Here is a 27,567-nt window from a genome sequence, read left to right as displayed (position 1 = left end):
ACAAGCGATTTTTCTGCAGCTGCCTTTAGGAGACACCTGGTGAGAGGGTGGGGGGTGAGAGGGTGATGCAGGGGCTGGTCCCCTGGTGATGCTCCTGACAATGATGACAGTACAGCAGGGGCGGGGGTGGTATTTGCAAAAGATGTAGCGAACATCCATTTAGGGCTGATTTTTTTTTCTTTTTGTACCATGCTAGTCACTGGTCACTTTGCTCACATTATTTTCTTTAATTCTCACAACAACGATATGGAGTATACCAAGAGGACTACTACTACTTCTACTGTTATTATTATTACCATCTCCATTGTCTAGAGAAGAAAAGTAGGCTCAGAAAATGGACACACACAGCAATGTGTCCATCTCAGGGTATGGAAATCACAAACACTGTTCTTCACTTAGAATGTTCAGCAAAATAATTATTTTTTAGTCCTGTGATTCAAAAGCGGGGATACCTGATTGGGGTTAATCACCTCATGAAAGTACGGCAGGGAAAGAAGAACCATGGATGGAGGCAGCTAAGTGCAAAACCAGGCCCTGATAAGGAAACAGAAACACATTTATTTATTTTAAATATTTCACATTTATTGTACATTTTTCATGGGTGTGGAAGGCGTTCTAACCATTGCCCTGCTCTCACCTTCAGCGTTCAGTCAATATTTTCCAAGTAGTTATTGAGCCCCAACTTGACTTTAGACCCTCAGTGGCACTGTGGGCACAGCTCTGCAGGAGGCACTGCGGAGCTTACTAATGAGCAGGCAGAGAAATCATCACAGGGAGCTTGTGAGGAAGATCTGTGCACAGAACATGTCCCCTCCAGGGTCTGTAGCTACTGGGCACAGAGGCAGACCCCAGACCAGCCTGAGCCCATTGAGATCTGTCTCCGGGATGGAACGTTGGAAACGTGAGATCAAGGAGACCTGAAGAAGCCAGGTGGTCACAAAACTTCATCAGGACTCGAGGCACTGCCCGGACCAGCCAATGGTACCCACACGCTGGGAATTATAGGGGAAGGAAATGATGACTAGGAGGCGGGACCTGGGACCAGCAGGGAGGGGGACAAGTAGAAATCCCTGACTTTCCAGTGGCAGCACCCTATGGGCCTGATTCTCACTTTCTATAGGCCACCTTTCCCCCCATTTTCTCGAACTAATTAGGGTGGGTTTCTGTCTTGTCTAAATAGGAAAAAACCTCTGTTATTGCAGAAGGGCTAGTCAGTATAAATTGTTGTTGTTTTTGCTGCTTTAATGGCAAACCTACTTAGTTTTTTCTTTTCTTTTTCCCTCAGCAACTCACCTAACTTGTGCTGAGGAAGGATCTACTGTGAAATAAACACCAAGCCAGATACCAGAGGAAACAAAGATGGGTAAGGTCACGTTCCCACCCTGGAGGTCTAGACCCAAGTTGGAGGAGATGGGCAGGTAGACAAGCACAAGAGATCAGGTACAGAGAGGTCCGGGAGCCGGAGGGAGTGAAGATGGATGGGGAGTGGAGGGCAGCCCCCAGGAGGAAGTCCCTCGAGGGCTGCAGGCAGGATCCAAGTGCACTGCTGTGGCGGCTGAGGCCTCCCAACAGCAAACCCAAGGGCTGCAGGATCCGAGCACACTGCTGTGGCAGCTGAGGCCTCCCAGCAGCAAACAGGAAAGCCACAGAGCACTCCCGAGGCAGAGCAGATCCGGCTTCTGGATCCCAGTTCATTAGCAGAAACAAGCAGAAGCTGATGCCAGAAAATATTTTTAAAAGTGTGTTTGGCCAATCCCATAATAGTCTCCCGTGTCCCCTCGTCACCGTGCATTTTCAGGGCTGTGCTTAAATATCTCCTTATCACAGAGGCCTATCCTGACAAACTATTAACAGGGCCTCCTTCTCCACCCTCAGGTTTGCTCTCTATCCCTGAACAACCCTCTAGCTTTCTCCCCAGTGTCCATCCCACCTACTGGGCATAAGGAATTGTTTACCATCTCTCCCTGTAACAGAGGGTGCCCTCCTCACCAGCCAGGTGCCCTTTCACTCCCTGCTCTCTCCACAGCGCCTAGAACTGTGCCTGTGTCAACAAATACTTGCAGAATCAGTGAACGCATCAAAGAAAACGGCATCCTCATGAACTCACCGACAATGGGCGAATCTCAGCCGTGACAGGGAAATAGTCCCTCATATCTCACCAGCCACCCGGCAGCAGCCAGTATGTCATCTATGTGGACCTGCAGCTAATGATCCACATTCAGAAGTTTACGTCATGCCTACACGGCCTTGCAAGCGGGGATGAGAGTCCTCATTCCCAGGGGAGTGTTTAAGGCTCAACAGGATTGAGTGACTTGCTCAAGAATTGCTCGTGGAGGCTGGGCTCGGTGGCTCACACCTGTAATCCCAGCACTTTGACATTCCGAGGTGGGTGGATCACCTGAAGTCAGGAGTTTGAGACCAGCCTGACCAATATGGTGAAACCCTGCCTCTACTAAAAATACAAAATTAACCAGGCGTGGTGGTGCATGCCTGTAATCCCAGCTACTTGGGAGGCTGAGGCAGGAGAATTGCTTGAATCTGGGAGGCGGAAGTTGCAGTGAGATGATATTGTGCCATTGCACTCCAGCTTGGGTGACAAGAGTAAAACTCCATCTCTAAAAAAAAAAAAAAAAAAAAAAAAGAATTGTTCATGAGTTCCCAAGGCCACACGGTCTGTAACAGAAACAGAATTTGAATCCAGGTCCAGTGAATTTCAAAATATGACCCCGAAGCTTTTCCTTCTCCACCTGGAGAGGAGATGTTAACTAAGTTTAAGAGGGTTTCATAAATTCAGGAATGGTTCCCAAGGGTTTAAGTTGCTTTCATGTCTCCTTCCCTCTCTGTGACAAGACCACAAGGTTCCAGATATCCACAGATTCTGAGGACTCACACCCAATGGTCTCTGGAGGCGCCTCTGTCTCTCCCGCCACCAGCATGGCTGGCATTTGAAAAGGCAGTCAAAATTAAATTAAACTGAAGTGCTGTGTTTTTTTTATTATTATTTTCTATGGTTAACAGATTTAATTGAGAAGTCAATTCATATTTGTAATCTTTTAGAAATGAACTAAATTCTGTGTTAAGATTTGATTGACACTTCTGCAGGCCAGTTCTCCAGACACATCATGCAAGACCCAAGTGTTCACTTGCTCTGATCTCTTTGTATATTGGGTTTCTTGAAAACATAACAGCAGCAAACTCCAAAGACTCTGAAGATACAGGCAACGTTATTAAGATCTTTTCCCCTTGATGCTAGCTAGATAGGTTACTGTTTTCTCTTAAAAAAAATCTATCTGTCTATGTGGTATTATTTCAAATAGTCTTTGAAAAATGTAATTTCTGGGAAAGGTTTTGTTTTGGTTTGGGTTTTGCCTTGAGGAACAGGGAGCTGCTAATTCTCAACCATGGCTAGGGTGCCCATCAACTGTGAAGTGGACTGGAGGCTCCTCCAAGCCCCCTTTTCTCTCACTGTGGTCACCTCCTATGCCTCGTGCTGACCTCTGACATTCTCCTGACAACACATGCAAGAGCCTCTCGGTGACCCTCAACCACCATCTACCAGTCTAAGGAATTGTGCAGGCCCTAATGGTTTCCTACTCCTCACCAGCTAATTAACCTTCTGTTGGTTAAGGTTCTGTTGGTTAACCTTCTGTTGGTTAAGGTTCTGCTGGTTAACCTTCTGTTGGTTAAGCCAATGCTCTAGACCTATTTTTCTCCCTGGAGAGCAAGTGTGTACAGTGGTGTGAAGGATATAACCATATGTTCAAAACAAATAGGCATATTAGAAGCACTGTTGCCTGAGAAACATAGGGCAATGTGTTTTTCCACTTGATTATATTTTTCCATAAATACAATTTTAACATGTTTTTCTTCTAGGCTTAAATATAAAATCCCATCTAGCTTACCCTTTAGCTTTCCTTAAAGTCAAAAAATAGGCTATATAAAGCACACACAGACACACACACATATATGTTTCTATATGTTGAGCTATCCTTAGAGGATAGATTCCCTAAAGGGTAATTATTAGTTAAGGGGCATAAGGGTTTACATATTTCATAAAATACATTGACACACTCATATACTGCATGTGGAGATGTAAAATGGTACAGCCACTTTGAAAAATAGTTCAGCAATTTCTTATAAAAGTGAACATGCAGCTACCATACAACACAGCAATTGTACTCTTGGACATTTATCCCAGGTTTACATAAAATCCTGTACATGAATGTTCATAACAGCTTCATTTGTAATAGCCAAAAAGTGTAAACAACCTAGATCTCCTTCAGGAGATGAAAGTTTAAACAAACTGCAGTGTAATCCATCTTGTGGAATATTACTCAGCAATCAAAAGGAACAAGCAATTGATAGGAACAAGAATTGAGAGGGGAATCTAAAGGGAATTCTGTTGTGTGAAAAAAGCCAGTCTCAAAAGATGGCATACTGTATTTCCATTTACATAACATTCTTAAAGTGATAACATTTGGAGATGGAGAACAGAATTGTGGTCACACGGATGAGGCTTGTGGGAGGACGTGGGTGTGGCTATAAGAGGACAGAATAAAGGATTCTTGTATTGATGAAAATGTTCTGTGTCTTGACTGTACTAATGCCAATATCCTCATTGTGAGTTTGTACCATAGTTTTGTAAGATATTATAATTGGGGGAAACTGGGTAGAGTATGTAGGATCTTTTTGCATTATTTCTTATAAATACGTGAATCTATAATTATCTCAAAATAAGACTTTAATTAAAAATGCATTGACACATTGTTTTCTGAAAGGAGGTAGCAAGTTTTCTTGCCAAACAACAATGGAGAAGACAAACTTAAGACTAACTCAAACTGTTTAATCTCGAAGGAAGGACACATGTGTTTGTCCATCGACGAGCGTGTTCCAAAACATGTCATTGGAAGTAAGAACCAGCTTTAACCAGAGAAATAGCATTATTTCATAATGGTCTCAATGCTCCTCAACTGCTAAAGTTAATTCAAATTAAGTGTTAATGTTTGATCTGAAAAAAGAGTGTTATCTCTTCCAGGTATTATTTGCATTTACTTGTAAAATGTAAAGTCAACCCAAGAGAGTGTTTTCTTGGAACCCCAGGGAGGGAAAAGGATCTCCTTCTTCAATGCCTCTGAAAGCCCACAGAGATGGCATCCTCTGCTGCAAACCCACCCTCCATGTAAATTCGGCCACACTGAACCCAGTGTTGGTCAGAACCATTCTGAGTCCAACTAGAGGGCCACATAACTGAGGTTGTCTCTGGGATTTGTGTTTCCTGTGACTTAGATTTACGTATGCAATGTGGTTTTTCTCCTGTTGCTGCTGCCTTCATTCCTGACTCGTAGGCTGGTGTTGGATTGTGAGGATCAGGTTTGGAGCTGGTGCTTTGATAGTCTTTGATGTTTTCAAACGCGTGAAAGGCTGTCATCTTTTCAAGTGGCACTCAGCTCCAGGTAAAGAATGTCTCTGATTTCTTGAGTGTCTCTCAGAGGCAATTATATCCTGATTGACCTGTTTGACGTTAAAATGTCTCCAACATGTGCTCCCGTATTGGGAAATGAAGATCTTATTTCTATTCTTCTACTCAAGTCTGTCTCCTTTGAGAGTTCACCAGAGTTCTAAACTTTGGGGATGGAAAGCACCAGATTGTTGGAGTACTTTTTTTTTTCTGTACAACTGACATTTTAAAAATCAATATTTTAAGCCTAACACGGAGAACATAGAGTCAGGCATTTATTGCAGCAATGATGTGATAAATAGCCAGGTAGTCCTGGGTACAGTGACAGGCACCAAGGATTCAAAGGTGGAGAAAGACATGGATCCTGCCTGCAGAGGGCTTATCATCTGGCTTATGAGTGGCGGCAGCAGTGGTTGGGGAATGAGAACACAAGGAGACAGATAATACAGTCCACAATGGAATGCATGGGACACTGAAGGGGTCATAGTCCCACATCCTTGACGTGAAGAGGTGCCGTCTTAAGACATCATTCATGTGTGAAAAGTTTGCTCCTTTAAAAATCAATGTGTGAATGAAGCTGGAAGCCATCATCCTCAGCAAACTAACACAGGAACAGGAAACCAAACGCCGCACGTTCTCACTCGTAAGTGGGAGTTGAACAATGAGAACACATGGACACAGGGAGGGGAACATCACACACCGGGGCCTGTTGGCGGCTGAGGGGTAAGGGGAGGGAGAGCATTAGGACAAATACCTAATGCATGCGGGGCTTAAAACCTAGATGACAGGTTGATAAGTACAGCAAACCACCATGGCACATGTATACCTATGTAACAAACCTACACATTCTGCACATGTATCCCAGAACTTAAAGGAGAAACGGGGTTTCTCCATGTTGGTCAGGCTGGTCTCGAACTCCCGACTTCAGGTGATCCACCTGTCTCAGCCTCCCAAAGTGCTAGGATTACAGGTGTGAGTCACCACGCCTGGCCAAAACACAGAATTTTAACAAATGTTAACACTTAGACTTTGAAGAGCAACCAGTGTTGATGAATATATTGCTGCCATTCCCACCTCTCCCCTACTCATTCCTTTCCCTGCCCTCTGTGGAGGTAGCCAGGGCTCTGACGTTTATACAGAGCTTTCCTCTTTAGGATTCTGTCTTTTTTTAATATACAGGTACATGTATGCATGTCACTGTTTTGTGTGCTTCATATTTAAATAAAACACAGTGTCTCGAGTTGTACATATCCTTTTGAATTTCACATTTTCTTCTAGGCTAAATGATAATTTTATATGTTTTTAGATATATCTACACTGATACACTTTAAGTGCTTTATCCCAGGGGTTGGCAAACTTTCTCTAGAAGAACTGGACAGTAAATATTTCAGATCTTATAAGCCATATGGAGTATGTCAACTCCTGCTCTGTGGTATTTCATGGTATGCCCCAATTTGTATCCATTTCTTAATTTATAGGCTTTTTAAAAATTGCTTTCAATGTGTTCGTATTATTTAGAAATGCAACAATAAATATATGTACACCATCTTCTTGTGCATGTGTATGATGCTCTTCAGGGTCTATATTCAGAAATTACTCATTTGAGTATTAATGTATTTGAGTTCCTTTTCTGTGAACTGAGAGAGTTGCTCAACCTACAGTAGACTTTATGTGAGCAGAAAAATAAAGCGTGTTGGTTCTGTCCTGGCCAGTGCAATCAGGGCAAGAAAAGAAACCTTTGTGGGTTTTTATTTAATCCATCGAGACCTCAGATTTAATTTGTAATCATAGTAATACACAGATTATGCTGAAAAATCTAATCTTTTGGTCATTCTTTTGATGATAATCTGTAAATGTAAAACTCTTAATTTCTTTATATCTGAAAGTTTCTTTATTTACCCTTATCTTGATTAATAGTTTATCTGGGTATAGATTGATAAATGTTTATTGTTTAGCAATCTGAAGTTTTTATTCTCTTCTAGCTTCTCTTGTGCTTGATTAAAAACAACCTCTGGCAATTAATTGTTATTTTTTTAAGTAACCTATTTTTCTTATGACTGCTTTTGAGATTTCCTTGTTATCTTTGGGATCCCACTGTTTCTTTACAATCAGATTAATTGGGACTGATATTATTTACGTTGTACGAGGCTTATTGTGCTTCAAAAATGTATAGACTCTTGTTTTTCAGTTCTGGAAATTTTTGAAGATTATCTTTCTGATGGCTGCTTTTTCTTCATTCTCTTTTTTGTCATGCCTAAAGTCTTATTATGTATTTTTGAACCTTCTCATTTTACCTTCCTGGTCTCATAATTTCTACTTCTTATTTTTCATCTCCTGAGGTGCATCCTGAGAAACTGCCTAATGTGGGTGGCTTACAAAGAAGGTGGAAACTAAATACCACATAGCAAGAACAAGGGAGATTTAAGAGTGAATGATCAGAGTTAAAGAGTTCTAAAGTCTACATGTTCTTTGAAAAAAGAATATAAATATTTATTAATTTTAGACTTTGAAAGTTAAATACCTAGCATTAAATTTTTAAGAGTTCCCAATAAAGGGATAGAAATAGAAGGCAAAACATCCAAATCTGATGTAAGGGTAAAAAAAAGAAAAAACAGAAAAAGATAAAAGAAATGAAGACTCCTCAATTTACTATGACATAGGAAGAAGAAGAATCATTAAGACATTAACATTGTGCAAACAAATTCAAATATTTTAAAAATCATAATCAGCAAAAATAAATTTTATTGTTCGGTTAAAAGTGAGGAATTTTCAGTTTGCATTTTGAGACATCCAACAATATGCTATTTACAAGAAAGAAATTTAACATATAAGGTAAAAAAAAAGACTGAAAGTTAAAGGATTTAAAAAGATGTATAATACCATACAAAGCAAAAGAAAACTGAGGTAGCCATGTGAACAACACACAGAGGGCTTTAGGGTAAAGGGATTGTTAGGATGAAGAGTTTTGTTACATCATGGGAAAGGAGAAAATTCACCATGAATATAAAAAATCCTGAATTTGTATTCACCAAATAACATCGCTTCATAATAAGTAAACCAAATATTGACAGAAACAAAATGACAAATCTGCAGTACTAACGAAAGTAACACACAATGCAAAAAATGATCAGTTAATGTGATTACAACACATGAGTATGGATAACAATACAATTTATGGCAATGTGCCCATCACAATTTGGTGGAGGTCGTGGGTTGCTGACAGTAACAGGTGGAGCATATACACACTTTTCAAGACGGATGGCTTGAAAATACACTCAGTGTATTCTAAGCTGCACAGCGAGTGTCAACAAATACAAAAGAATCGATGATGTACTGACCCAGAGAGGTTAAATAAATTGTGTAAGTTTACACAGCTAGCAAGAAGTAGAATTTAATTAAAAGAGATTAAAAAACATATTTAGCACGGTGCCTGGCATGCAGTTGATATTAAATGGCTATTGTGTTTTAAATGTTATTTGTAAATATCCCCATCTTAGAGATCTTTCTTGCTTCTCTTCTGTTTTCAGCTGACTTTCTTGGCTTTCCAGATAGGCAAATCAATCAACCAATCAATCAGTCGTTGCATGAACTGCAATTTCCATAACGGTGTTGAGAGCCATGTCAAGAACTCCGGCGTGGGTCACTGTTTAAATTTAGACATCATTAAGTAAGAGGTGGTCTCTTTCAATCTAGGATATTTTCCCCCAAACAGTGTTGATACCTGAATTTCTTCACATTGTTTTAGTGTCATCCTGGATTTTGTTGGAATTCTTTCTCTTGATCACATGCCAGAGCGATTCACGAGGCTGAGAGGGGCCCCAGTGGGAAAATCTTCTGGGTGTGTAATGACTTCTCTGTGTTTCCTGAAAATGATTCATCAGGGGCAGCTTTTCTTGTCTTGTTTTTTGATTGGAAGGTCTTCATTCCTGGTTGGTGAGCAGGCACCATTGCCTTTTTGGAGCTGCCACCAAGAGTCAAGTGACAGCCCTGCTCTTCCTTCCTTTGCATTTGGGGGCTGACCACCCAGACGGCCCAGGTGGACTATCCGCGGCTCCTGCAGAAACTCCCTCCCAGATTGCTGCTGTCACACATGGGGTCTCTTCGTTCCATTCCCCTTGGCCTATCCGGCCTTCTCTAGTTCCTTGGCTGCAGTCTGGCCCCTCCCTGTCTTCCTCGAAGGCGGTCTCACATGCACGTCATCCAGCAGAAAGTCCTCTATTTTGTGCCATGAAGAGATACTTTCCTTTTTAATGCTACTGTCATTTCCCCCAGTTTTTCATTTCTTTGCTCCTTTCAGTAGGAATTGGGTTACTGAGGCAAGCTACCTACAATCAATTCTCCATTTTATCAAGTTATCTCTCCTTTTATGTTGTGATTACACAGGAAACTGGATTTGAAAGCCAGATAAGAAAGCAAATCCAAGATGATCCATACACCCATCATTTTGGTATTTTTGGTTTGAATAATGTAAACATTATGTAGCTAAAAAGTAATCAACAAGGGTCTCTGAATACCATGGAGATTGTTTTTGGCAGCAGAAAATACATTAGTTCTCCATTTCTACAAACTGAATGCTCATTTAGAAGAAAAATGAAGTGTTTACTCTGAAACTACATATCATTAGACAGATATTTTTGAACAATTTGAATCTGAAATATATTTGTAAAAATTCTGTACCCAGACATAAACCCATATGGCATAATTGTTATTTACTCTTGGTATGCCAGGTTTGCAAAAGTTTTGTATTTTCTTTTCTCTCAAAACTTGGAGAGATGACTTAAATTGCAAGAAAGTTCTTAATTTTTCATCAAAACATAAAACAAGTAATTAAACAGTAAAAAGTGATAACGTGTAATTATAAGTAATATTCTGAGCAGGATAAGGCAATGGTTGTCAGCTAGGACAGTTCTGTAACATATGGGACATGTGGTGATGTCTAGAGACACTTTTGGTTGTCACAACTGGGTGAAGGTGTTAATGGCATCTATTGGGTGGAGACCAGGATTGTTGCTAAAAATCCCACAGTGCAGAGACCAGCTCCTCACAACAAAGAATTATTCAGCCCACTATCTGCCAGGTATCAGTAGTGTCAAGGTTGTGGAACTCTGGAATAAGAAATAGCAGATCACAGGGACATGCCTTCTCCCTTTTACATGTTCCTCCAAGACAGGGCACCAGACATCAGGCACATCTTAAAACCCTGGAGAGTGAGAATGACCATCCTGGTGTTTGGAAAGCAGCTGTGGTTCTTGGAGAAGACATAGGGTTGGGGTGAAAACATCTAGGTTCTTGCCAGCACTGCTACCTGGCTATGGAGAAAGCTATTTTACCTGCAAGTGTCAGAATTTTCATCAATGAGGGAGTGAATGACACTGAGCAGACAGAACCATTTAGAAGAAAAATAGGCTGGCACGTATAAAAGCATTGTACACACTGGAAATGGCATACACATTGAAGACATTATTTTTAGTTTATAATATTTCATATACTTTCTATTTAGCCACAGGTATTGAGCCTTCAAATCCATTTTTTTAAGTGCAGAACTTTTTTTTTCTTGTAGTGTATTCAGATAAAAGGGCACAATATAAATAACCTGTATTCTCTCTTGAACACTTATATTCTACCTTTATTTACCCATATTTGTTTTTTCTTATTCTTTCTCCTCAATTCACCTATTGCTACTTCAAAGCAATTGAAATCAGAGAAAAGAAGAATTGCTCACTAACCTGCCCACTGTTGTAATCAAACTCTGTGAATGGTTCCATCATTCATGTAAAAATAAGGAAAGCGTACAGTGCAAGAATTCAAAGTGAGAGAAGGTAGTTATTATTTTATTACTGAAACCACAATAGCACATCTTTTCCTTTTGGTGAGCAAAGCTAGAATTAATATTTTAAATAGTAAACAAAAACTGACAAAAAAGAACCAAATATGATGAGAATGAATGTTTATTATTTTAAGGAAAAATTTATCCTTAAAGCCTTATCTAGAAAATGGAAATCAGAAAGCTAGGAGCACCAGCTAATGCGTGAAAACATCAGAATTTCTTAACCTGGTGCTTCCGCCTTTATTCTCTCTCCCTTAAGCAGTAAAGGGACATTTTCCCTGTTAGCAAAGAGGGAATTAAACGTCGGTTGAAGAGGCAAATATGGGAGACATTTTGGAGTCATTCATTCATATATTTCTGGCAATGGCTCTGAAGAGTGGATAGCATTACCCTCATTTTACAGATGAAGAAACCAAGGCTTACACAGGTTAACCGCCCGGCTCAAGGTTCCACGATTGTGAATGGCTGTCATGACGCCTGTCTGACTCTATGACACATGACACTTCAATTTCTATGGTGGCTTTTCCCTGGGAAACAAAGAATTTATACAAATAACACTTATCATTACAGAAATAAAGTGCTGCATTGCTTTTGAGCTCTAAATGCCTTTTTACTTATTGCCATGTTATTCCACTAAATTATCAGGAATGATAATACAACAGACCTTGGCTTTATTATACTGTGAATTTGTAAAGTCTGAAATTTTCCAAAAACATCTCATTTTTGGACGACTTCACTTTTGCCTCATTTTTATCAATAGTTTTAGTATTTGACTATTTTCTTAAAGATAGCTTTTACAAAGGAAGAGTTCAAGGTTGTTTTGCTTATAATAACACAAACTGAAATGGACATTTGCTCACCATGTGCCAAATACCCAACAAACACCATCTCATCTCTTGTTCAGATTAAACTCACAGAGATGTTCTTCTTCTCTTCCTTTCATCCATGCAAGAGTTCAGGTAGAGACTGGTGAAGTCAATGGCTTTAAGTCAGGAGTCAAAAACAGGTGGCCTGACTCCTCATCTACACACTCATCAATTCTCCTATATGTCCTCTGGCTTCTAGAGAGATATTCCTACGGGATGTCAGAGAGCCATCAAGCTGTGGGAGGTTGGAAGGGGAGCTGCACAGTGCCAGGCTAAAAAGGAGCTTCTGCCTCATCTCATGGTGTTTTTAATTCAATGTCCTGCCTCAGTCAAATTACAGGTTCCTAGAAGCCAAGGACCCTCCTGAGACCCACAGCCTGAAAGTGTTCCTGGCACAGCAACCTCTCTGGTCATTCGTCTCTCAATCCTGACAAGTAATGTATTGTAAATCCCTACTCAGTTTCCTTTATTTTCTTCTGCTAGTTTAAAAAAATCACTATATGCTTTTTAAAAATTAGATGAGAAAAGTCGAATTCCAGAGACTTGGGATTGGAAGGTGGGTGCTATCTTCCAGGGTCTTTTGATGCAGATGTGACTGCAGTGCTCCTGAAACCACAATAGCACATCCTTTCTTTTTGGTGAGCAAAGCTAGAATTAATGAGTCCCCATGCTGAGGCCACGCCTGGTGGCTGTAGACAGTGGTGCTGAGGCTGTCACTCACTGGCAGAGTCAACGGAGATTTGGTGCTTCCTTTGTGAATGGAAAATATCTTAGGCCCCCAAATCACTAAGCTAAAGGGAAAAATCAAACTGGGAAATGCTTAGGGCAAACCTGCCTCCCATTCTATTCAAAGTCACCCCTCTGCTCACTGAGATAAATGCATATCTGACTGCCTCCTTTGGAGAGGCTCGTCAGAAACTTAAAAGAATGCAGCCATTTGTCCCTTATCTACCTATGCTCTGGAAGCCCTGTCCCTCTTCGAGTTGTCTCCCCTTTCCAGATCCAGACCAAACCAAAATGTGCTCCGACCACCTTGGGCACATGTCATCAGGAGCTTCCGAGGCTCTGCCACAGGCGCGCATCTTTAAGCTTGGCAAACTAAACTTTCTAAATAAACTGAGACCTGTCTCAGATTTTCGGGGTTCACACCTTCATCAGCCATGAAGATGTGGAATGCATGTTTGGCCTTAATTCTATGTGTTTTCTTGGTGAACTCCTATTTTGGAGGAGCGGGGTAAAATCATCAGCAAAACCTTGATACTGAGTCTAACAGTTGTCGTCTAATTTGTGGGAATGAAGTGCCATAAATTCCAGAGTGGAAAATTGACAAGAATCCTCAAAGAGAATGGGATGCACATGGCAACTCAGTTTGGCCTTTGCTTAGATATTTTCTTCTCTTTTTTGGGTATTGTAATATGGCCAGGGTCTATTTTAAGAAAGGAGAAATAACAAAGGAGCTCAAAGCTTTTCCATCAGCTTTCTAGACCTCGTATTGTTAATTGCCTACTGTATCTGTCATTACTGCATTTTTTTTTCTGGTGTATTTAGATAAAACCCTATACACTTGTTAATTAGAATGATTAAAGAAATTAGGCTACTGCGGGTCACCCTGCTTTTACATTAGACAGAAATTCACCACGCGTGGAGAAGAGATGTTCTGGCTCTTTCTATGGGTAGCCAGATAACATGCCCCAATTTTCACAACTGTGGTGGAGCTAAAAGGCTGAAGAATTGTACTTCAAGTGTGAAATAGAGGCTGCGTTGTTTAACACCATCCATGGGAAAACTACATAAATGTATTAGAGCAGGCAATTTAGGGCCTGTTTGTACAATCTCATGGAAGTGGGGTAACATTTACAGAGAAGTGAGACAGAACAGGTATCCTAGATTGCTCTAGCTAACCCGGAGTTCAAGGTGAAACAGACCGCATGGCTCAATTGTGTTAAGCTCTACTCATTTCAATGAACAGTTGGATTGCATACTGGGCTGGTTTTTCATCTTCTGCACATGGAGCCTCCATATGGCAAACTTCATTAAGCACCTGGGCCAGTAGGCATGGTGACAGGGGCCCACCTTTTCACCTTCCCAATGTACTTACTATGTGCTTGGCACTGGCCTTAGCACCATATTCCAAATGCCAGATTTAATCCTCACCTTATTGCTATCGTCAAATTACAGATGAGAAAACTCAGGCTCAGAGACATAAACTGCCCTTCCAACATCACACAGCCTAGTGAGCGTTGAGGTGTTGAACTTTCAATCCAGTGCCCTGGCTCCTAAGCAGCACTGACCCGCAGCTGAGGCTTTGGGCTATGCTCTCAGTCTGGGACAAACCCCAGTTTCTCCACTAAAGGGTTAGAAGACCTGGGTCAGTCACTTAATGTCTCTGTGCCCGAGCTTTCTTTTTTGTAAGGGAGATACCAGCCCCGACCCCGTGGTGTGATGGGGTTGTGCTGTGAAGACTGCTAACTCTAAGCGTTCCTTTACATTCTCTGCCTCCCCACCTTCCTGCTCTCTTGGGATTTAACTTTGTGGCCCCTGAAGAGATGAGGAAGAAATATGCATCTCTTGCTATGAGATTTCAATTATTTAAAAGGAACAAGGTCCACAGGCTCAGGAAAGCTTGAGTCACAAACTCACAGCCGGGTGAGTGAGAACCCTTAGGTGGGGCAAAATGGACTCTGCCTCTGCCTCTGTGAAGACGGGATCATGCTAATTCTGCTAATTTGAGGGAGAATTTTCTCTGTGGAATGGAGATAAGAAGGTAAGAACTGCCGTCTAGATTCAGTTTTTGAGCTAACTAGCTGGATGACCTCAGTGAGTCCCTGAACTTTCTTATATGCACATTTCTAAGCTGAGAAGTGAGCAACTTTGGAGCAGCAGTGCCTGATATCAACTGCCCCTTACTGGCCAGGCACCATCTGCCTGCACGGTGCGTAGCCTGGACATTTACTGAACCAAGCACCTATGCATTCGCTCTTTTGCTACCAGAACTACGATGAAGCTGGTGTCCTCATTGGATAGAAGGTAATATCTGCTCAATAAACATTGTTTTATATTTACAACAATGGTAATTACAAGTATGACACAAAAAAGTGACATTTTAGGGTAGCTTTGTGGCTTAAAAAAACCTTAATAATTTTAGTCAGATGGGTGGTAACTCAAGAACTTACAGCTTGACACTGCATTAAAATATTCCTCTTTAAGGTATATCTACATTATGACTTAGCTTAGCAAGTTATTGTTTTAAATGTCCTAGAAAAGTAACCTGTTAGCCCAGGCGAGATGGCTCATGCCTGTAATCCCAGCACTTTGGGAGGTGGAGACAGGCAGATCACTTGAGATCAGAAGTTTGAGACCAGTCTGGCCAACATGGTGGAACCCTGTCTCTACTAAAAATATAAAAATTAGCTGAGCGTGGTGGCAGCTGCCTATAATCCAGTTACTCAGGAGGCTGAGGCAGGAGAATCTCTCGAACCCACGAGGCAGAAATTGCAGTGAGCAGAACGTCACTGCACTTCAGCCTGGGTGATAGAGCAAGACGAAAAAAGTAACTTGCTTACCATGCTGTATCCCCACATCAACCGTTGTAATAGGATTTCTCAGCCTTGGGACTTAGTGACATTTTGGGCAGACACTTCCTTGTTGTGGGCTGTCCTGGGCTCAGTGGCCTAGCACCATATCTGCCCTCCACCCAGTCGATGCCCCCAGTGGAGAAGCGCTGCCTTGGATCAATGACCTCAAGCTTAGAATGAGTAAAGTCTGAGTGCTTTGATAGATGTTTGTTTTTGTTTTTAATTAAAATTTTGTATCCCAATGGAAAGATGTTATCCAAATGCCTAAAAAAATGATTTCTTTAAAAGTTTTGCTGTCTTACCATTCCATTTGTGTCCACTGAATGTGACTGTGCTGATGTTTATGGGCATTCTATCTGGATGGGTGGATGGGGTGATGAATTGGGGTTCTCAGATCCTTCGCGAACTGGAGAGGACACCTTGGCTTAAAGGGTGGCATTGAGCTAGTTTGTCTCATCTTGGGGAGACAGATGTTGCCACTGATTAAATTTGAAGAAGAAAGAAAACATGTAATTTGATTATCTTCACCAAGTGGGTGTAGCATAGCTAATCTTATTTTCTCAAATGGAAGAATTGCTGCAATAAGTAAAAAGAAGAATGAATGTTTGGCTGAAGGCAGTGTAGTGTGATAGAAATTAATGATGCTGTCTGAATAGAAGGCTGGTTACATCTTTTTCTTGCTTTAATGTTTTCTTAGGGATGCATTTGTGGTAACCTGTATGACCACAGCAGTTGCGTCCTAAATCCCTGCCCCACTAAAATAGATTTAGCACAATCTATGAGATGAAAATGCAGGTATTCCCTCTGTGAGCTAGATATTGCCCACTGAAAACCTACCCATGCTCAGAATGTTCTTAAATAAACTTGCAGAAGAGAATAATAAAATCCTGAATCTGTTGTTCCTATATTTCTATTGCACAAAACCCAGGACTTGCAAAGATTCTCAAGTAACAAGAAAGTTGAGTGAATAGGAAAACGTCAGATGCTCAACGGAACGCCTACACGGTATATCCGGCTTATTTTTTCCCACTGACCTCATTTGTGTGACATTTTCTCGGCAGATGCATCTAGAGCCCATGAAAAACAATTATGGTCTGTATTCACTTGTAGAAAACACACTGGAAAAGACTCAGTGTTGGCAAGAATAAGTCAGCTCAACCTGGACAGGGGAACCTAAGCTCTTTTCCATTTATGAGAAAAATGCTACAGAAAATTTACATCTTAACGCAACAGCATCTGGCCCTATCCTGAGAACATAGAAGTAATGCTTGTGGGGTGAATGAATAAATGAGCAAGGGAGTGAATAAATAAAATCAGCAAATCACTTGCGGTGTCCATTTCCACAAAATCTATCTTATAAAAATAAACATAATGGCAACAATAATAACAGCAAATGCATACAACGTTTATGCTGGGCTCAGCACCACTCTAAGTGCTTTAAGTACATTAACTCATTTAACCCTCATAATAACCCTGTACACTGGATACTATTATTATTCTGCTTGAAGATGAGGAAACTGAGGCACAGAGTAGTTAAGTCACTTGGCCCAGGTCACAGAGCTAGTAAATGAAAATGTTAGGATTCAAACCCTGGACATTTGTCTCTGGAGTCCATGCTCTTACATGCTGTACTGCATTTTCCCAATATTAAAAATGATATGGTCTGATGATTTGCATTATTTAAATGAACCTGGGTTTTAGATCAATGTTGATTGATTAGTTTCTTTGAATAGTTAGCTCTCCTTTTTGTTGGTTTATTACAATGAGTTAGAAAAACTCTGAAGGACAGGAAGTAGAGCAAGGAACCATCAAATATTCATTCAACACCCACGGAAAACCCATTTGGGAAAATAAAATGTAAGTAAATGGGGAAACCAGAGCTCAACTTGCTAAAATTCAGTTTGTGAGCATTTGCAAATCCCTGCATAAAATAATGAACACATTTTCCACAAAGGGCACAGCCTGGATTCAGAAACATTGCTTGGGTCACAAAAAACAGCTGAGTTCAAGAAAACAAACAAACAAACAAACAAAACCAAAGAAAAAGTGTTCTTCAGTGCGTTCTGCCTTGGCCTGTTGCTCTGTAATGATAGTTGCTATAGAAATGCCCAGGTGAGGTGTTCTCGTGAACACAATGGGTGGTACCTTCAGCATTATCTTTATTACAAGTTTAGGGCTTCTGTCAAAATCAAGTCTCCATAAAAAGGAAATCAACCAACTCCATGAAAGTTAATCCATGATTTTTTTAAAAAGTCAGTATATTTATAATTATCTGAGAATTAGGAATGAAAAATAGAGGTCTTCTTTATTTAGCTCTTTCTACTTAAATAATGCAGTGATGGGAGAGATTTTTGTGGGAATGTATAATTTAATATAATTGAGTAAGGGAATTAGAACATTTCATCCACTCTGCTATTTAATGACACAGTTCTTAAGATAGCTGAGGACATTATGTTATAGCGAGGTTGAGGTTTCCCGGAGAGCTAAGTGGGAAAACAGAGGCAAGAGGAAATCTTGGGAACAAAGGGCACGAACAGAAATGTTTAATAAATTCGAGTCAGAGAAATGTGGCTGAATGCACATGTGTAAATGAGCTCATGGATATTCAGAACAGAAATTAAATCAGCTCATATAGACAGCATGAAAGACCTTCCTCCTTCCCAGCCTGCTTTCCTCCGAGAGGCCACAACAGGGTAAGCTCATTCTCTGATGTGCTCCCAACCCCATTTTCTACACAGGTTCGGGGACTCCTTGCAGATTATTTGCCACACTTAAATGAAGGAAAGGCAAAGAACAAAGCCTCTTCTTTTCATTTTTTCATTGCACAGCAAAAGACTCTTCATTTTAGATCACAGAGGATTATCTCCTTCACCTACCCGTTCCTCTCCCCTCCCTACTCCACTGCACCCGTTTCCTAATGTTGCCTCACAAATTCCCATAAACATAGCCATTCGGGACAGCACACATTTATTACCACAGGGTTGCTGCTCCTCTCGGGTCCAGGCAGGGCCTTGCTGTGCCCTTGACTCAGGGTCTCCCAAGGCTACAGTCAAGGTGCTGCCTGGGCTGCCATCTCAGGTGGTGGGTGGAGTTCTCCTCCAAGCCTGCAGCTCCTGCAAGCCAGCCCTCTCCACGGGTAGTTCACAGCACGTGGGGTTTGCCTCTTCAGGGCCACAGGAGGATATGTCTCTGCTTGACATCTCTGACATCAGAGAAGGATGGAGGCCTCTTTAACAGGGCGCCCCCCGACTGGATTGGGTCAGGCCCACCTGAGATAATCTCGTTTTGATAATCATCATCAACTAATTAAACTAGGACCTTAATTATGTCCAAAAAATCCCTGCACTTCTCATATACCATTGGTTAGAAGCCAGTCGCAGGGGCTGGGGGAGGGAATTCTCTGGGTTGTGACTCATTCAGAGTCACCTTGGGTGTGTTCTGCATACCCTCTGACATGGTTTGGATGTTGTCCCCTCTGAATCTCATGTTGAATTGGAATCAGTGTTGGAGGTGGGGCCTGGTGGAGGTGATTGGCTTATGGAGGTGATCCCTCTTGGCTTGGTGCTGTCTTTGCAATAGTGAGTGAGTTCTCACAACAGCTGGCTGTGTAAAAGGGTTTGGCACCTCCCCCCTCACACTCTCACTTGCCTCTACTCTCACCATGTGATGCACGGGCTCCCCCCTTGCCTTCCGCCATGATTGTAGCTCCCTGAGGCCTCCCCAGAAGCTAAGCAGGTGCTGGCAACATGCTTACGCTACAGCCTGCAGAACTGTGAGCCAATTTAACCCCTTTCCTTATAAACTACCTAGTCTCAGGTTTTTCTTTCTTTCTTTCTTTCTTTCTTTCTTTCTTTCTTTCTTTCTTTCTTTCTTTCTTCTTTCTTTCTTTCTTTCCTTTCTTTCTTTCCTTTCTTTCTTTCCTTCCTTCCTTCCTTCCTTCCTTCCTTCCTTCCTTCCTTCCTTTCCATTTTTTCTTCTTTCTTTCTTTCTTTCCTTCTTTCTTTTTTCCTTTCCTTTCCTTTCCTTTCCTTTCCTTTCTTTTCTTTTCTTTCTTTTCTTTTTTTTTGAGACGGAGTCTCACTCTGTCACCGAGGCTGGATTTCAGTGGTGCAATCTCAGATCACTGCAACCTCTACCTCCCAGGTTTAAGCGATTCTCATGCTTCAGCCTCCTGAATAGCTGGGACTACAGGCATGTGCCACCATGCCCAGCTAATTTTTGTATTTTTAGTAGAGGCATGGCTTCATCATGTTGGCCAGGCTGGTCTCAAACTCCTGACCTCTGGTGATCCACCTGCCTTGGCCTTCCAAAGTTCTGTGATTACAAGTGTGAGCCACCATGCCTGTCCTGTTTCTTCTTTTTAAATTTTTTTTTAATGTCCATAGGTTTTGGGGAACAGGTGGTGTTTGGTTACTTGAGTAAATTCTTTAGTGATGATTTCTGAGATTTTGGTGCACCCATCTCCTGAGCAGTATTCACTGAACACAATCTGTAATCTTTTATCCGTCACCCCCTTCCCACCCTTTCCCCTGAGTCCCCAAAGTCCTTTGTGTCATTCTTATGTCTTTGCATCCTCATAGCTTAGCCCCCACTTATGAGTGAGAACATATGATGTTTGGTTTTCCATTCTTGAGTTACTTCACGTAGAATAATAGTCTCCAATCCCATCCAGGTTGCTGCAAATGCCATTAATTCATTCCTTTTTATGGCTGAGTAGTATTCCATTATAGATATATGTGTGTGTATATATATACACACACACACATATATACACACACACACCAATATATGGTATATACGGTGTGCGTGTATGTGTGTATATATATATACACACACCTATATATGGTATATATGGTATATATGTATACTAATTATATATTTTATATATGTATGTATGTATGTATGTATGTATATATACCAATTTCTTTATCCACTCCTTGATTGATGGGCATTTGGATTGGTTCCACATTTTTACAATTGAGAATTGCACTGCAATAAACATGCATGAGCAAGTATCTTTTTTGTACAATGACTTCCTTTCCTCTGGGTAGATACCCAGTAGTGGGATTGCTGGATCAAAAAAAAAAAAAAAAAAAAAGTAGGCACATAGACCAGTGGAACAGAATAGAGAATCCAGAAATAAACCCAAATACTTACAGCCATCCTGGGATAACTGGCAAGTCACATGTAGGAGAATGAAACTGGATCCTCATCTCTCACCTTATACAAGAATCAACTCAAGATGGATCAAATACTTAAATCTAAGGCCTGAGACTATAAAAATTCTAGAAGATAACATGAGATATTTCTTTATACAAATGCAAGAACAGACTAATACAACCTCCTCGCCCCAACTCTCAGATCCTTTCATGGACAAGGCAGGAAGGTTGAAGGAGGCCCAGGAAGGTGGAGGTGTTTGCCTTCTGCTGAGGGTGGGGCTTGTCAGCACCAGGGCCCAGGGCCCCAGGTGGTCTTTCCTAGAAACCTCTCACCTTGCCTCATTGTCTAGCTGTTCTGAGGTAACAGTGGCCGTATGCCTAGTAGGTGTGCCCAGCAAAGTGACCCCTCCCTCCTCTAAAGGGAGCCCAGATGCCTCTCCACTGCACACTGATTCCCTTGTTCGCTTTTCACGTTGGACCAGGCCTGCAAGGTGTCAGGCTGCACTGGCAATGAGCATACAGTGGAGGGCTCCAGGCACCTGCTCCCAAGGAGCTTATACTTTAGACTGTGGTCAGAGAGGGGCTGGGTTCCAATCCTACCTTCACCAGAAGTCCTTTAGTTTCAATGGACATTACCCATCTTGAACTGGCTCAAGAAAAGGGGCAATTTCTTAGCAATCATGGTTGGTTTTCCTGACTTAGAAAGCAAGGCAGAAGCTCCCTTCAGGTGTAGTTGGATCCAGAGCTTTGTCTCTTGATAAATAATCAATAAATAAAGACTTTTTCTGTTCCCGTTCTAATTTCAGATGGGCAGGCTAAGTGTCTTTTGTCCTAGGATGCTACTAAACATTCCACAAGGTCAATAATAACTCTCCAACAACCTGCCTGTTTTCCTCTGAGCCCTTGGACCTCACATCTAGACAGGCATAAGGTCTGACTCCCCAAGTTTGCAATGTCCTTGTCCATGTGCTGCTTTAAGACAGCATGGCGCGGCCGGCCACCTCCCCAGAATGGGGCATGGGTCCCACTGGCCCTCCTTGCCACGTCACTTCAGCCAAATGTCCATTTTATATTAAGGTGCCAGTTTCTGTTGTAACCAAGACGTATTTAGCAATGCAAAAACTCAACATATCAGCTCCATGACTGGAAGTACATGCTGCAGGCATGGCTGGGTCTAGAAGCTCCCAAGATGTCACTGGGGCTCTGTTTCTTTCTGTGTCTTTACCCTGTTTACCCTTGGTATGTTACCTTTCTTCTCTCCTTTTCCTAACAGGTTTCCTCCATGTGGCAGGGAAATATGGCTTTGAGGCATAGGGTCAGGGCCAGGACTAGGGAGAGGTGAGTGAGGCACCTCAGGCCAAATTCAAGGAGGTTCTGGCTCTCAGGGCTGTGCAGGACTAAGTACCTGCTGCGTTTCATGACCCTTGCCCCAGCACCCTTCCCCGAGGCCCAGCTCTGCACAGAATTCAGGAACCATCAGCTCAGCAATCCCAGCAGAAAGAGCTTCCTTCTCTCACAGTTTTCATAGGTTGCAAATCAATTCCAGCAACAGTGATTGATTGGCCCTGCTTGGGCACATGGTCTCATTTTGAACCAACCCCTGTTGCTGGGGATGGAGCACTCAATTGACCAGAGCTGAATCACCTGCATCCCTGGAGCCTGGGATAGCCAGGCAATCTGATCCATGATCCCCTGGAGAATCAAATGGAATGGGGGAGAAGCAGCACCCCAAAACACAAAAGCAACAAATGGCTCCTGTACTTCCACTCAAGCAAATAAGCCCCTAATTAGACACTATTTGTTATAATTTTGTACTGTTGTGTATTTTTTAGGCTTGCCTCTTCAGTCATATTCCAAAGTCTATGAGGATGAGAACAGTGCTTGATGTCCCCACATCACTGACCACAGTCTCTTACACGTAGTAGGTGCTCAGGAAACCTCTGCAGGGTAATGTGCTTCCACATTACAGTTGCTAATGATGTAGATTATTGCACTGCTTGATAGGAAACCCTGATGGTTCCTAGCCATCATTTGGTTACGTCAATCCATGCTAGAGATGATGCAGTGTAGAGAGAGGTATTTGGGGATTCCAAAATGCTGAGTTTCTCAGAGGATTATTTTCTATGGGTTATATGCATGTGCAGAATCAGAACCTCCTCCAGGAGCTGAGAGAACCTGATTCACTTTCTGGAAAGCCACAGCCTCTCATTGCAGCACTCTTGCTTGGAGAGCTAAGTGCCTAATGGGGGAAAATGCTGGATTCTATGTTGGTGTTCTGGGAACAGCTCAGCCCTGCCTCATAGACTCTGGAACACCTACTCTTTCCAGCCAACAAGAAAACTTGGGAAAGTCAGTGAGGGTCAGGAGCCAGGCACTGAGGCATAGACAACTGGGGAGATGTTCCTGCTTGCCTTCACTCATGCTGGGGCATTGCAAGGTTTCCTGTGTTCTGGGGGTGGGGAGAAGGCAAGCATTTCTTTCTAATGACATTAGGGTCAGAGCTTAACAAAGAGTAGATCCTATAGAAGGGAAGAAAGATCAGGAAACACCATCTCTGGGCTGTTTTGGCAGATGCAAATTGGTTCTGCCTTTTATACGTCAAATTGGGGAAGAATTGTTCTTTGGGGAAAGATTGGAATCAGAAAGGAGAGATCTCCTTCCCTGGCACCAAAGGGTGTGAGCACCTGATGGGCAGAGAGCCCCTGCAATATGCAAACTGGCTTGCAGAGGCCCTCCTATTAAAATGCCAAACAGTCAAGAAGCAGTGTCCTTCTGACAGCTTCTCAGAATAAACAGGGTGGCAGTTTGCATTTGAGATGTGCAGACGTGCTAGAGTTGGCTCTCAATTTGGCAGAAGCAGAGTTAAAGGGGCACCCTCTAACACTAAGGGACTTATTACAGAAAGCAGTCAGCATTGCAAAGCAAGAGAGAGTCTGAAGTTAAGAGAGGGCTTCACGACTGATGGACTATTTCATATTCGCATTCCTGAGTGGAGGAGGGAAGGAAGGATGGAGAGATGCCAATATCAATCAATATCATTATCTTAGACTTTTGTTCATCTTAAAAATTCAGCTCAAATGCACCCTCTTACTTTTCAATTGTTTTAAAATGGAGTGAAGTTTTCATTTGCTCTAACTTTTTCATTTACAGTTTCTGCACGCAATGGAGTGTCTCTCTTCTGTAGATGAGGCTTCCTTAAACCATATTCATTGGCACAGTAGCTCCCTGGGTGTTACAAGTGTTCTTTTGCAAAGAGGTTCCTTGGGCTAAAACGTCCAAGAAAAGCGGGTTGAACGAAGCAAAGCAAGTGTCCCCCCTGCAGGACTTTAATATATCAGTACTCACCATGAGGCTCTAAGAGGGGAGGTTTAATGAGGAATCCAGGCTTCCTACTGGTGTATTCCACTCAGAACTCCTTTTCCCACAAAATATCTCATGCGAGTCGGCAAAACGTTTTAGACGTTTCAAACCAGACAACTAAGATGCCACATCTGAGATGTACCCTGGGGACCTCGGAGCACAGAGACCTATGTTAAATGATGAATTAAGATGGACTCAAATATGAGATCCCGCTAGACTCAAATGTGAGGAGGCTGGAGAATGGCGGGTAAAAAGCAAGCACTGAGTCACCCAGACAGTGAGCTGTAAGAATGCAGACCCAGTCAGGGGCTGTGTTAGCCAAATGTCCCCTCAAGCCACGCTGCGGGGACTTGCTCCCTTGTCCAATGATTGAGCAGAGACCTCGCCCCACAAGAAACCTATCGTCTGCCCCCTTCCCTCCAAGCCACTGGTGGTCAAAAGAGAATAGCCAGCAAACACATGCTAACCACTGCTCCATTCCCTGTATTGAATCATTTCATTTCTGCTTTTTTTGTGTGTGTATGTGTGATCATTCCTCCACCTACTGTAGGTCAAAGGCTTTTTATTTTCAGGAGTCTCTAGACTGTAATCTCACAAATGGCACTGGGAGTCTAAATAAGGCTATCTGCCTGAAATGGTGAGTTCCTCAGAGGTGGACCCATGTCAGGTTGCTGCACACTCAAATACAGATACTCACTGAATACTTCAAATAAGAACTACGATTTTTTTTTTGCTAGCAACATCCCAGATTCAACCTATCTTTTTTTCTGGCCTCAACATTTTATTTTATGAAAGTTTCTTTCATAATACACAATAAAGAAAATACATATATATACACATATGCACATATATATTTACATATATAATGTAAAAAGGTACATATAACCTTGGTTTGGTTTCCAAGAAGGAAGGAGGAGGCAGAGACGGCGGATGGGTCAGGTATTCAAATTTAATGATGCTTCTGCTTTGAAATGTTAAAGCATTGCTTGGTTGGGATCTAATGAATACAGGTTAAAGTATCATCTGAAGGACCGTCAACGGCTTGTAAATAAAACCATTTAGGAGTTGGTATCAGTCAGGGTTCAACAAGAGAAGTAGAACTAGTAGAAGAGTATATCTCGATATCTATCTATCTATCTATCTATCTATTTATCTTTCTATCTATTGTTCTGTCTATCTATCATCTATCTATATCTATCTATCTATTTACCTATCTATCTATATATCTGGAGACATTGATGACAAGAAATGGGCTCATTCTGTTGTAGGGGCTTCCCAAGCAAGTTCTAAACCCATAGGGCAGGCAGTCCAGAAAGGAAGACGGTGTGGGGTGGAAACCCATGGGCACAGGCCAAGCTCTGCACCTCAGCGCGGCTTCTAAGGTCTTACAACTGATTCACTCAGTCCCACCCACTGTACAGGGTACTATCTTATTAAAGTGGACAAATCAAGGATTTAATTATATCTGTAAAATACTTTCAGAGCAACACCTGGCTCAGTGTTTAAGAACCGGGGCCTACAGCCTGACCAAGTTGCCATCCTAGAGTTCGGTTTTGTTTGTTGTTGTTGTTGTTGTTTGTTTTTGACAGGGTCTTGCTGTGTCACCCAGGCTGGAATACAGTAGCATGATCATGGCTCACTGCAGCCTCAACTTCCTGGGCTCAAGCGATCCTCCCACCTCAACCCTCAGAGTAGCTGGGACCACAGGTGCACACCACCGTGCCTGGCTAGCTTTCATATTTTTGGTAGAGACAGGGTTTTGCCACGTTGCCCAAGCTGGTCTCAAACTCCTGAGCTCGAGCAATTCACCCGCCTTGGCCTCCCAAAGTGCTGGGATTCTAGGCGTCAGCCACTGCACCCGAGCTGGAGTTCTTTATGAGTACAGACGACAGGGTTAGGTCAGAAGTGTCAGAGTGGGGATTTGGGCCCTGGTTTGATTTACTTTAAAATCGGGGTAAAAATCCTTGCTTTTTCTCCTTTGGGGGAAGTCAGAAGTATTCCCCGTCCTATATTCTTTGAATTTCATATATTTTGTTTTTTCTCTGTAGATGTAGCATCATCCAACTTCTGACAGTCTCTCTATCGGTAAGTTCATTCCGTTTTGGTCAAAAACAAATATCTAGCTTTCTTCCAACTGTCTGTAGCCCACTCTAAAGTCCAAGGACTCTGAAGTTGTGTTGTCTCCTGATTATAAGTAAAACTAAGCAGAAAGGGTGTTTACCCATTTACTCCTTTAAGTGGAATGCAGTAGACTGTGTCCTTTTTCTAACAATTGCTCCATATGTTGATTTTTAAAAAATTATGTAAGTTTTTTCCATTATCAGGGTCTACTTCTTGAATTCGACCTACTCTTGATTTTTAAAAAAGGGGATTGGGTATATCTTTTACTTTTGAGACTGAAACATTAATATGTGAGCTTGGCTCTGATTTGCTTGCAGTAGGAGAGAAAAGCATTTTGAGAAAACAGAAGCAGTTTGCATACACTATGTCCATGACGATTTGCAGCTGTGGGCGCAGCTCACCCAGTGCTCACGTAGTTAGCCTCGCTGGGCCGGGGTGGGTCTGTGATCGTGGTAGGATACTACCCAATGTTGGCTGTGACTTGATGGAGGTAAAGACTGGCCAGCACACTGTTGGTCCCCACGGAAATGCTATTTGGGCAGACTTTGCTTCTATAAAAGTCTTCCCTTCAAACACCCTGAGGGGGTGTGGACACCAGAAGGAGCCTGCCTGTGTCCAGCAGGGTCTCCGGTTTGGTCATTCAGGGGATAGTCATCGGGGGTCTGATGTGTGTTGGGCACAGGACTCAACTCTGGGGGAGGGGCGTGGACAGAGAGAAGCTGCCTGGGCCTCTTGAGACTAACGGACCAGCAGGGAAGGCAGACCCTTTAAGAATTTACAGCCACGAGTGCTGCATACCTTGGTGGACAGTCTCAGAAGCGCCGCGGAGGCCAGGAGCAGGCCCAGTAGCAGCTAAGCACGTCTGCAGGGTAAGTCTAGCCTGCATCTTTGTCGGGAATAGGATTTGTAGACCAGGCACTGCCCTCAAACCCGGACAAAAGGACCCTGTTCTGGGCCTTGCACTTTAGCAACTCCCCCTCCCCCTGCTGCTCCCCCGACCATCACAGCCCCACCGCTGGCTGGCTGGCAGCTGCTGAGGGAGGGGGGCGTGAGGGCTCCGCTGACAGTCCTGTCTTCAGCCCCATTTCCTCTGAGATACTCATGAAGGAAGGATGGCGGCCCTGCTCTCTCTCCTGAGCTCAGATGAGGAGAGCTGTTCTACAATCTCCCCACCATCCAATCCCTTCTAATCCCTTTCTTC

At 42.4% G+C, this 27,567-nt stretch overlaps 1 annotated feature.

Annotated features, from left to right (window-relative positions):
* Positions 8,813 to 10,012: an enhancer, noted in NCBI's record as "CDK7 strongly-dependent group 2 enhancer chr20:59251235-59252434 (GRCh37/hg19 assembly coordinates)". NCBI's record gives its function as "activates an origin of replication core promoter dependent on BRD2, BRD4, P300/CBP, MED14 and CDK7 cofactors, with strong dependence on CDK7, by STARR-seq in HCT116 cells {active_cell/tissue: HCT116}" and the evidence as "EXISTENCE:reporter gene assay evidence [ECO:0000049][PMID:35650434]".

Source organism: Homo sapiens, chromosome 20 (assembly GCF_000001405.40).
Source record: "Homo sapiens chromosome 20, GRCh38.p14 Primary Assembly".
Classification (NCBI taxonomy): Eukaryota; Metazoa; Chordata; class Mammalia; order Primates; family Hominidae; genus Homo; species Homo sapiens.
Note: the sequence above shows the minus strand (reverse complement) of the source record. Positions and strands in the feature narration are given on the sequence as shown.